This window comes from Homo sapiens, chromosome 8 (assembly GCF_000001405.40).
Source record: "Homo sapiens chromosome 8, GRCh38.p14 Primary Assembly".
Classification (NCBI taxonomy): domain Eukaryota; kingdom Metazoa; phylum Chordata; class Mammalia; order Primates; family Hominidae; genus Homo; species Homo sapiens.
The window spans coordinates 71,814,342-71,827,271 of NC_000008.11; the positions used below are offsets into that span (position 1 = coordinate 71,814,342).

At 41.1% G+C, this 12,930-nt stretch overlaps 1 non-coding gene across 1 annotated transcript; it reads right to left on the minus strand.

Moving 5' to 3' along the window:
* Positions 1-1,152: 1,152 nt before the first annotated feature.
* Positions 1,153-1,284, minus strand: LOC124900257 (U8 small nucleolar RNA). The gene has a single exon (XR_007061199.1). It is a non-coding gene; the product is annotated as a U8 small nucleolar RNA (small nucleolar RNA).

Sequence of the window (12,930 nt, forward strand, 5' to 3'; positions counted from 1 at the left end):
TAAGTGTGAAGATAAGATTGGCCAGTTTCCTTCATTGCCAATTCTTCTTTTCCTCATGACTGATATACTTCTTTACCCATTTGGCTAGATTTCCCAATAACTTCTTTGATAAGCAAATATGACATTTTCTCTTCCTTAGTGCCCCTCTGAACTAAGAGCTATGCACAAAAGCAAGGTTCTTTGGGGAGAAATCCTCTGGAGAAGGCAGTGAAGTGAAGTAGTCAAAGCATGAACATGAAGTAAGGTAGCCTGGGTTTAAATCTCAACTCTAGCACTCAGCAGTTCCAGGCTCTTGGGCCTTTTTTTTTTTTTTTCTTTTTTTTTGACAGAGTCTCGTTCTGTCACCCAGGCTGGATTGCAGTGGCGCAATCTCAGCTCACTGCAACCTCTGCCTCTCGGGTTCAAGCAATCCTCCTGCCTCAGACTTCTAAGTAAGTAACTGAGATTACAGGCGTGCCACCAGGACTGGCTAATTTTTTTGTTTGTTTGTTTGTTTTTGAGACGGAGTCTCGCTCTGTCACCCAGGCTCAAGTGCAGTGGCGCGATCTCGGCTCACTGCAAGCTCCGCCTCCCGGGTTCGCGCCATTCTCCTGTCTCAGCCTCACGAGGACCTGGGACTACAGGCGCCTGCCACCATGCCTGGCTAATTTTTTATATTTTTAGTAGAGACGGGGTTTCACCATGTTGGGCAGGTTTGTCTTGAACTTCTGACCTCAAGTGATCCACCCGCCTCGGCCTCCCAAAGTGCTGGGATTACAGACGTGAGCCACCACGCCCAGCCCTTGGCATTTAATTTAACTTCCCAGAATCTTGTTTTATTTCATTGTGAAATGTGGATAAATATTTTTCACCCCAGAAAGTTATTGTAAGAATTCAATGAAAATAACCTATGAAACAACTTCAGCATGGTTCTAGCATTCAGTAATTACTATTCTTAATTGTTATTTACCTGCTTGTATATATATTAAAACCAAGTACTTGATTCTAATTATTATTTTCATTATTTTAACTATTATGATTTTCATAATTATATATGTATGTATATTTTTAACAAAAGATTTTTAATTAACCAAAGTTACACTTGTGGATGATTCTCAATGCTCCATGATAATACACTTATTTTTAAATTTATTCTTTTCTTCTTCAGAAAGAATCAGGTAGGAGCAAACAGAATGTTGCAAATCCTGATTATGCAGAGAATTAATCACATATCATGTAAACTCTAGTCATCGTGAACTCTGCCCTCCAAAAGAAGGAACAGGTAAGGATGATCTCACCTGTGGATAATGCATCTCTTTTAAATGCTCAACAGAATGAGCAAGTCCTTCCACAGTCCATCTTTTCCTAAAACAATTTAGCCACTCTAGGGATCATTAAAGCCGCACCAACATCCTTCCAATTTGGCAATAACCAATGGGAAAATCCACCTAGTTATTCTCAGGGAGCAAACCAGTTGACCAAGTTAGAGCTGGGTCTGACTTGTCCAATGAGCAATTCACTCTTCAGCAATTCCTTTTGAAGAGAGAAAGTTATTGTGTGGAATTGCTAGAGTTGTTGTGATACACTGTGTCTCTGCCCTTTTGAAAGTAGAAGCACTGCAGGTCACTCACAAGCCACTGGGCAAATACCCAATGGCCCTTGAGAGTTATTCAGTGCCCTTGACTAGAAGAGTTGGCATTGGCTTCTGGGTATTAATCTTAGGTAAGGAGGAAAGGTATTGAGAAAATGAGAATAAAATGAAGGAAGCTTGAATTTAGCATATCTGCCTTTATAAGAATTGCTGTACATGTTTGTCTTAGCTCAGGTTGTTATAACGAAATACCACAGATTGGGTGTCTAAAACAACAGACATCTGGAGACTTGACAGTCTGAGATCAAGCATGGTCAGGTTCTAGTAAGGGCTCTCTTTCTAGTTTTCTCACACGACAGAGAGAGAGAAGGGCATAGAAGAGAAGACAGAGAGAGAGAGAGCTGTCATGTTCCTCCTTCTAAGAGCATTAAGTTCATAATGATGGCTCCACCCTCATGACCTAATCACCTCCCAAAGGCCTTAGCTCAAAATACCATCACATTGGGGATTAGGGCTTCAATATACAAATTTTGGGTGGGTAAAAGCATTTAGTCTATAGTAATATTACCCTTCCTTCCTCACTCTTCCCTAACCAGAGTGAACACTCCTGAGGACAGAGAGCATATCTGGTGCTAAGCACCTCAGAAGCAGGTGCTCAATACGTGTTCATTTAATTGTTGACTTGATTTACTACGGCACCAAAATACAACTTTTAGAGAGGACACAGGCACCTGTTTCTGCTCAGCCTTCAGAGGGGATTTTCTTTGTGAAAGTCTGCTTCTCCCAACTGAAGTCAGGAAAAAGGCATGTGAGCATTTTGTGAGATAAGAATCCATCCCAAGGAGAATGTCTCAACTGCACATAGAGTGTTTACTGGGGATAAATGAAACAAGAAAAAGAAAAGACAAATTAATGATATCTGTCTACAAAATTCACTACCAAATGATCACTTTCAACTTTTGTTCTAGAAGCACAGTATATAATATTTATGAATGGAAAATCTTTATGAAATATACGTCAATAAAGGAAAGCTTTCTTTCCCTTTTCCATATACCCCACAATTTTCCCCAATAACACAGAAGAAGTAAGCAGTGATTAAGTTGGTGCAGTTCTCATGCCCCATCAGAATTCACAGATAGAGAGCGTTGTTGCATGTTCAGTGCCAAAACTGATGTTAAGCTTGAAAGTGACATTAATGATTCTATAAGTTAACACATTCCCCCCAAGTAGAAAAAGCCAGCAGGAGAAGAGGTAGTGAATTCCAAACTTCTTTAATTTTAAATTTGCCATTCAGCTTAAAAACCAAAAATATTAATAGTAACTTTAGTGTTCTTTGTGTTTCTGTCCTGAATTGCACCCATTTCTTGCCACCAACCTGAATTTGGTGCTCTATTCCTATGCACTTTTTTTCCACTTTTGCTACATATGAGTGTATCTCCAAGCAACATATGGCATTTCTTTGCCTGTGTTTAAATTCTCTATACATAGCATTATTATGTTGTATGTTTCTGAAACTTATTCCTTGCTGCATAACAATAAAAATATATTTGCTTACAGTAAAATTACAAATTTCTGTTCCTCAAAGAATACCATTCAAAAAGGTGATGAATTGATAGAAGGGGAAAGAACAGGCATCAGAAGAGGGGAAGATATTTGTAAAACTCATACCTAATAAACGTTCCCCATCCAGAAACCAAACTCACAATTTACATCAGGTGAAAACTTGACTCTGTGGTATTCACTTCTCAGGCCTCTGTACATATGCAGCCTAGGATGTTCCTAGTGATAATGTCATTCATGCTAGACCCACAAAACTTTTACTGTCACAATACAACTGCTCAGTAACAAGGACAGATCAGAAATTGAAATTGAGTTCCGATAGCTTGTTTGGAGACCACACAGAAAATTTATTTTCTGTGTCAAAAAATCCAACTTCACCAACCCTAGGGAGATTCAACAAGCTAGATGCAACAGAAGAAAAGAAAAAGAAACTGTGAGGTGGGGTGAGTAACTGGTGGTGACTGATGGGCTTTAAAACTAAGACTACATAGCCAAGCCCCAGAATCCTTGGTAACCATGTAACTCGAGGCAATAGGATGGCCTATTGTGGTAGGTGGAATGGGGGCCCCCAAGAAATGTTACATCCTACTCCCTGGACCTTGTACATGTGAACTTGTTTGGTAAAAAAAGTCTTCTTTGCTGATATAATTAAATTATGGATATCAAGATGAGATCATCCTAGATTATCCAGGTGGGCCTTAAATCTGATGACAAGTGTCTTACAAAAGACAGCAGCCACGTGGAGATGGAGGCAGAGAGTGGAATTGTGCAGCCAGAAGCCAGGGAATGCTTGGGGCCACCAAAAGCTGAAAGAAACAGAAGGCCCCTCCTCAAGAGCTGTCAGGAGAAGCTCGGCCCTGCTGACATTTGATTTCAGATTCTAGCCTCTAGGACTATGAGAGAGAAATAAATTTCTGTTATTTTAAGCCACCGAGTTTATAATAATTTGTAACAGTCCTAGGAAACAAATACACCTTTATTCCATCAGAGAGGCAAAGTATTTTTGTTGTCTAGGATTTCTTTTGATGAGGCAATTTCCAGTGTTTAAAATAAGCCGAGCTCCTCTGTTCTCTGTCAAATACCCAAACTGCTGCTGAACTATGGAAATCTTCTTCAAGGCACATTTTCCTTCAGCCTCCCAAACAGGGAAGCAAATTTGAGAAATTAATAGAACTTCACACCCAGTGGGTAGATATCCCAAAGTTAATTTAATTGGGGCCCACGACGAAAGAAATTTAAAGGCCATTTTAATTTTGCTAGTTTAACATGAACATATGTGCAAAGCTACAAAATTGAGATAAGATGCAACAACGGTACGAGGAGAGATTAAAGAGATTGACAGTGAAATGTGTGAAGAACAATTAAATTAAGTCAATAAAAATGGAAAATAATGTGCTTGTCAACCCAAAAATCCTGGGCTGCATTAGTAAGAATGTAATAAACAGAGCAAAGGAGGCAGTAGGCAGGGTCTGTTGTACCTGATGCTGTTGCTCCTTGAGAATGGCATCTGCAAATTTGAGCACATCCAAGGGAGGGCAACTAGGACTCTAGAGAGTGAGTGTAATGATGAATAAAGATCAGATGAAAGACTTGATGGTTCTCAGCTTGGAAAATATCCGTAGGATGAATGTGATGGTGTCTTCATGCCTTCAAATGATCATCATAGGGATTACATTGGGCTCTGGCAAGGAATGCTGAGCCTGCAAAAGGGACTAACTAGAAGTGGCCAGGGCAGGAGGAAGAAATCAAGAAGGTGCCATCAGGCAAGCCAAGGGACAGTTCCAAGCCTGGGCCTGGCAGTGTGAGTGGAGAAAACACCCATAGCAACCTGTGAACTGGCAGTCCCCACAGCAGTACAAACTGAGATGCAAGGAGGGAGAAACAGGGTTTTTGTAGAAAGGGAGAAATCCTTGAAGACCCACATTTACACTCTGTGCTTTGTCTCATATCAATACAGTCTTAATTTTAGCTAATGACCAGTCAACTGGAAAATAACCCAATGCACCTGGCTTGTGCCATCACTCAGTGGTTTCTAAATGTTCACCTCCTGCCGCCCACCTGTGATGGCCATTAGGGAGAAAAACTGAAGCCACAATAGTCATCACATCGCCCCTACATTTTTTCCTGAATGTTAGAATGCACTTTATTTTTTGAAATTATGATGATAGTAGTTTGAAACTAATTATTTTAAATGTCTAATTTGGCAAAACAAAAATAATTGAAATCACCAATATCATTTGTAATATTTTTGGAATTTTCTTCTGGGAAATCAAAAAGTCTGGAAACCATGGCTCCAGATTACACCAAAAGGAAACATAAGATTAAAACTGTATTCAAAAACAAAAACCTCAAAATTCTTGTCAAAGAGCCCTTTTCCTAAGAAATAAGCAAGGAAGAAAACATGGGGTCTGGGCTGTTTAGATGTTACTTATAGTTTGAAAACTTCCAAAAATTCATGTGCACATTTTTGTTAATATAGGATTCAGAGTTGTGTGTCTGTGTACCTATGTATGTATGTATATAGCTGATGGTGGGACAATGAAGCAATTAAAATCTGTACATCGTAATAACAACCATAGTATTATACAAACAGTTTCCCCAAATTACTACAGTTCTTTCTCATGGACACACCTACATTCCTGTGATAACACTATGGCCACAAGAGGGCAATATACATTCAGGTTACTAATGCCTGTCAAGAGTTTTGCCTCAAATCAGATTAAGTCAACTAGTCTTTGCTGTTCTTTGCTCCAAGGGCAAGAAAACATGTTAAAAATATTGTCTTTGTGAGGGGTGGAGCCAAGATGGCCGAATAGGAACAGCTCCAGTCTACAGCTCCCAGCATGAGAGACACAGAAGACGGGTGATTTCTGCATTTCCAACTGAGGTACTGGGTTCATCTCACTGGGGAGTGTTGGAGAGTGGGTGCAGGACAGTGGGTGCAGTGCACCGAGCATGAGCCAAAGCAGAGAGAAGCATCACCTCACCCGGGAAGCACAATGGGTTAAGGAATTCCCTTTCCTACTCAAAGAAAGGGGTGACAGAGGGCACCTGGAAAATTGGGTCACTCCCACCCTAATACTGCGCTTTTCCAATGGTCTTAGCAAACGGCACACCAGGAGATTATATCCTGCACCTGGCTCAGAGGGTCCTACACCCACAGAGCCTCTCTGATTGCTGGCACAGCAGTCTGAGATCAAACTACAAGGCGTCAGCGAGGCTGGAGGAGGGGCGCCCACCATTGCCGAGGCTTGAGTAGGTAAACAAAGCGGCTGGGAAGCTCGAACTGGGTGGAGCCCACCGCAGCTCAAGGAGGCCTGCTTGCCTCTCTAGACTCCACCTTTGGGGGCAGGGCATAACCATACAAAAGGCAGCAGAATCCTCTGCAGACTTAAATGTCCCTGTCTGACAGCTTTGAAGAGAGTAGTGGTTATCCCAGCACACAGCTGGAGATCTGAGAGTGGACAGACTGCCTCCTCAAGTGGGTCCCTGACCCCCGAGTAGCCTAACTGGGAGGCACCCCCCAGTAGGGGCTGACTGACACCTCACATGGCCAGGTACTCCTCTGAGACAAAACTTCCAGAGGAAAGATTAGGCAGCAACATTTGCTGTTCACCAATATCCCCTGTTCTGCAGCCTCTGCTGCTGATACCCAGGCAAACAGGGTCTGGAGTGGACCTCCAGCAAATACCAACAGACCTGCAGCTGAGGGTCCTGACTGTTAGAAGGAAAACTAGCAAGCAGAAAGGACATCCACACCAAAACCCCATCTGTACATCACCATCATCAAAGACCAAAGGTAGATAAAAACCACAAAGATGGGGAAAAAACAGAGCAGAAAAACTGGAAACTCTAAAATTCAGAGCACCTCCTCTCCTCCAAAGGAACACAGCTCCTCACCAGCAACAGAACAAAGCTGGATGGAGAATGACTTTAATGAGTTGAGAGAAGAAGGCTTCAGACGATCAAACTACTCCAAGCTAAAGGAGGATGTTCGAACCCATGGCAAAGAAGTTAAAAACCTTGAAAAAAATTAGACGAATGGCTAACTAGAATAACCAATGCAGAGAATTCCTTAAAGGACCTGATGGAGCTGAAAACCAAGGCACGAGAACTACGTGACGAATGCACAAGCCTCAGTAGCCAATTCGATCAACTCGAAGAAAGGGTATCAGTGATGGAAGATCAAATGAATGACATGAAACGAGAAGAGAACTTTAGAGAAAAAAGAATAAAAAGAAACGAAAAAAGCCTCCAAGAAATATGGGACTATGTGAAAAGACCAAATCTACGTCTGATTGGTGTACCTGAAAGTGATGAGGAGAATGGAACCAAGTTGGAAAACACTCTGCAGGATATTACCCAGGAGAACTTCCCCAATCTAGCAAGGCAGGCCAACATTCAAATTCAGGAAATACAGAGAACGCCACAAAGATACTCCTTGAGAAGAGCAACTCCAAGACACATAATTGTCAAATTCACCAAAGTTGAAATGAAGAAAAAATTATTAAGGGCAGCCAGAGAGAAAGGTTGGGTTACCCACAAAGGGAAGCCCATCAGACTAACAGCGGATCTCTCGGCAGAAACTCTACAAGCCAGAAGAGAGTAGGGGCCAATATTCAACATTCTTAAAGAAAAGAATTTTCAACCCAGAATTTCATAACCAGCCAAACTAAGCTTCATAAGTGAAGGAGAAATAAAATCCTTTACAGACAAGCAAATGCTGAGAGATTTTGTCACCACCAGGCCTGCCCTACAAGAGCTCCTGAAGGAAGCACTAAACATGGAAAGGAACAACCGGTACCAGCCGCTGCAAAAACATGCCAAATTGTAAAGGCCATTGAGGCTAGGAAGAAACTGCATCAACTAACGAACAAACTAACCAGCTAACATCATAATGACAGGATCAAATTCACACATAACAACATTAACCTTGAATGTAAATGGGCTAAATGCTCCAATTAAAAGACACAGACTGGCAAATTGGGTAAAGAGTCAAGACCCATCAGTGGGCTGTATTCAGGAAACCCATGCCATGTGCAGAGACACAAATAGGCTCAAAATAAAGGGATGGAGGAAGATCTACCAAGAAATGGAAAACAAAAAAAGGCAGGGGTTGCAATCCTAGTCTGTGATAAAACAGACTTTAAACCAACAAAGATCAAAAGAGACAAAGAAGGCCATTACATAATGGTAAAGGGATCAATTCAACAAGAAGAGCTAACTATCCTAAATACATATGCGCCCAATACAGGAGCACCCAGATTCATAAAGCAAGTCCTTATAGAACTACAAAGAGACTTAGACTCCCACACAATAATAATGGGAGACTTTAACACCCCACTGTCAACATTAGACAGATCAACGACACAGAAAGTTAACAAGGATATCCAGGAATTGAACTCAGCTGCACCAAGTGGACCTAATAGACATCTACAGAACTCTCCACCCCAAATCAACAGAATATACATTCTTCTCAAAACCACACCACACCTATTCCAAAATTGTCCACAGAGTTGGAAGTAAAGCACTCCTCAGCAAATGTAAAAGAACAGAAATTATAACAAACTGTTTCACAGACCGCAGTGCAGTCAAACTAGAACTCAGTATTCAGAAACTCACTCAAAACCGCTCAACTACATGAAACTGAACAACCTGCTCCTGAATGACTACTGGGTACATAACAAAATGAAGGCAGAAATAAAGATGTTCTTTGAAATCAACGAGAACAAAGACACAACATACCAGAGTCTTTGGGACACATTTAAAGCAGTGTGTAGAGGGAAATTTATAGCTCTAAATGCCCACAAGAGAAAGCAGGAAAGATCTAAAATTGACACCCTAACATCACAATTAAAAGAACTAGAGAAGCAAGAGCAAACACATTCAAAAGCTAGCAGAAGGCAAGAAATAACTAAGATCAGAGCAGAACTGAAGGAAATAGACACACAAAAAACCCTTCAAAAAATCAGTGAACCCTGGAGCTGGTTTTTTGAAAAGATCAACAAAATTGATAGACCGCTAGCAAGGCTAATAAAGAAGAAAAGAGAGAAGAATCAAATAGATGCAATAAAAAATGATAAAGGGGATATGACCACCGATCCCACAGAAATACAAACTACCATCAGAGAATACTATAAACACCTCTATGCAAATAAACTAGAAAATCTAGAAGAAATGGATAAATTCCTCGACACATACACCCTCCCAAGACTAAACCAGGAAGAAGTTGAATCTCTGAATAGACCAATAACAGACTCTGAAAATGAGGCAATCATTAATAGCTTACCAACCAAAAAAAGTCCAGGACCAGATGGATTCACAGCCGAATTCTACCAGAGGTACAAGGAGGAGCTGGTACCATTTCTTCTGAAACTATTCCAATCAATAGAAAAAGAGGGAATCCTCCCTAACTCATTTTATGAGGCCAGCATGATCCTGATACCAAAGCCTGGCAGAGACACAACCAAAAAAGAGAATTTTAGACCAATATCCCTGATGAGCATCGATGCAAAAATCCTCAATAAAATACTGGCAAACCAAATCCAGCGGCACATCAAAAAGCTTATCCACCATGATCAAGTGGGCTTCATCCCTGGGATGCAAGGCTGGTTCAACCTACGCAAATCAGTAAATGTAATCCAGCCTATAAACAGAACCAACGTCAAAAACCACATGATTATCTCAATAGATGCAGAAAAGGCCTTTGACAAAATTCAACAACACTTCATGGTACAAACTCTCAATAAATTAGGTATTGATAGGATGTATCTCAAAATAATAAGAGCTATCTATGACAAACCCACAGCCAATATCATACTGAATGGGCAAAAACTGGAAGCATTCCCTTTGAAAACTGGCACAAGAAAGGGATGCCCTCTCTCACCACTCCTATTCAACATAGTGTTGGAAGTTCTGGCCAGGGCAATCAGGCAGAAGAAGGAAATAAAGGGTATTCAATTAGGAAAAGTGGAAGTCAAATTGTCCCTATTTGCAGATGACATGATTGTATATCTAGAAAACCCTATCGTCTCAGCCCAAAATCTCCTTAAGCTGATAGGCAACTTCAGCAAAGTCTCAGGATACAAAATCAATGTGCAAAAATCACAAGCATTCTTATACACCAATAACAGACAAACAGAGAGCCAAATCATGAGTGAACTCCCATTCACAATTGCTTCAAAGAGAATAAAATACCTAGGAATCCAACTTACAAGGGATGTGAAGGACCTCTTCAAGGAGAACTACAAATAACTGCTCAATGAAATAAAAGAGGATACAAACAAATGGAATAACGTTCCATGCTCATGGGTAGGAAGAATCAATATCGTGAAAATGGCCATACTGCCCAAGGTAATTTATAGATTCAATGCCATCCCCATCAAGCTACCAATGACTTTCTTCACAGAAATGGAAAAAACTACCTTAAAGTTCATATGGAACCAAAAAAGAGCCCGCATTGCCAAGTCAATCCTAAGCCAAAAGAACAAAGCTGGAGGCATCATGCTACCTGACTTCAAACTATATTACAAGGCTACAGTAACCAAAACAGCATGGTACTGGTACCAAAACAGAGATATAGACCAATGGAACAGAACAGAGCCCTCAGAAATAATGCCGCATATCTACAACCATCTGATCTTTGACAACCCTGACAAAAACAAGCAATGGGGAAAGGATTCCCTATTTAATAAATGGTGCTGGGAAAACTGGCTAGCCATATGTAGAAAGCTGAAACTGGATCCCTTCCTTACACCTTATACAAAAATTAATTCAAGATGGATTAAAGACTTAAATGTTAGACCTAAAACCATAAAAACCCTAGAAACAAACCTAGGCAATACCATTCAGGACATAGGCATGGGCGAGGACTTCATGACTAAAATGCCAAAAGCAATGGCAACAAAAGCCAAAATTCACAAATGGGATCTAATTAAACTAAAGAGCTTCTGCACAGCAAAAGAAACTACCATCAGAGTGAACAGGCAACCTACAGAACGGGAGAAAATTTTTGCAATCTACTCATCTGACAAAGGTCTATTATCCAGAATCCACAATGAACTCAAACACATTTACAAGAAAAAAACAAACAACCCCATCAAAAAGTGGGTGAAGGATATGAACAGACACTTCTCAAAAGAAGACATTTATGCAGCCAAAAGACACATGAAAAAATGCTCATCATCACTGGCCATCAGAGAAATGCACATCAAAACCACAATGAGATACCATCTCACACCAGTTAGAATGGCGATCATTAAAAAGTCAGGAAACAACAGGTGCTGGAGAGGATGTGGAGAAATAGGAACACTTTTACACTGTTGGTGAGACTGTAAACTAGTTCAACCATTGTGGAAATCAGTGTGGCGATTCCTCAGGGATCTAGAAGTAGAAATACCATTTGACCCAGCCATCCATTATTGGGCGTATACCCAAAGGATTATAAATCATGCTGCTATAAAGACACATGCACACGTATGTTTATTGTGGCACTATTCACAATAGCAAAGACTTGGAACCAACCCAATGTCCAACAATGTTATACTGGATTAAGAAAATGTGGCACATATACACCATGGAATACTATGCAGCCATAAAAAAGGATGAGTTCATGTCCTTTGTAGGGACATGGATGAAGCTGCAAACCATCATTCTCAGCAAACTGTCTCAAGGAGAAAAAACCAAACACCACATGTTCTCACTCATAGATGGGAACTGAACAATGAGAACACATGGACACAGGTAGGGGAGCGTCACACACTGAGGCCTGTTGTGGGGTGGGAGGAGGGGGGAGGGATAGCATTAGGAGATATACCTAATGTTAAATGACGAGTTAATGGGTGCAGCACACCAACATGGCACATGTATACATATGTAACAAACCTGCACGTTGTGCACATGTACCCTAAAACTTAAAGTATAATTTAAAAAATATATTGTCTTTGTTTGTGTTTCCATCAATAATAGCATAATTTGGCTTGAGTGAAGAGTGAAGGTGGAGAAGGTGAGCAGAGCACGATACTGTTTTGCCTATTCTCATCTTAAAACACAGATTTGAATCATTACACGTGTGAAATGCAGGCTTTCCATGGGAAGAAGTAGAATGGTTCTTGTATTTCTGGAAAGACACAGCAAGTGAATCTGCTACTTTATAGCTTTTTTTTTTTTTTTTTTTTTTGAGACCGAGTCTCACCCTATCGTCCAGGCTGGAGAACAATGGGGCGATCTTGGCTCACTGCAAGCCCCTCCACCCAGGTTCAAACGATTCTCCTGCCTCAGCCTCTCGAGTGGCTGGGATTCAGGCACCCACCACCAGGCTCCACTCATTTTTGTATTTTTAGTAGAAATGTGGTTTCACCATATTGGCCAGGCTGGCCTCGAACTCCTGACCTCGTGATCCACCTGCCTCGGCCTCCCAAAGTGCTGGGATTACAAGCGTGAGCCACTGTGCCTGGCCTATATCTATCCTTAAACAAAGACAAGGCCTGGGTTTAACACTTGCATGAAATGGAGAGAATTATAATAATCTTCCTTATTTATCTCGCAGAGGACTTGTGAAGCTCAGATGAGATGCTCATCTCAAGCTCTTCGTTGAAGTAACCACCACTTCCAAAATCCCCTCAGAACTATAACACTGCCTGCAAATATAACGGATCCACAAGGCAACAGAGAGCTACACCTTTGGATCTCACAAATACAGTAGTGGGGAACCACCCAGAGCTGTCTTCTGGAAGAGCTGTGATGACAGTAGCGCTGTTGCAGTTACTACAAGGGACCTGAGAAGCCACAGATGGCCCACA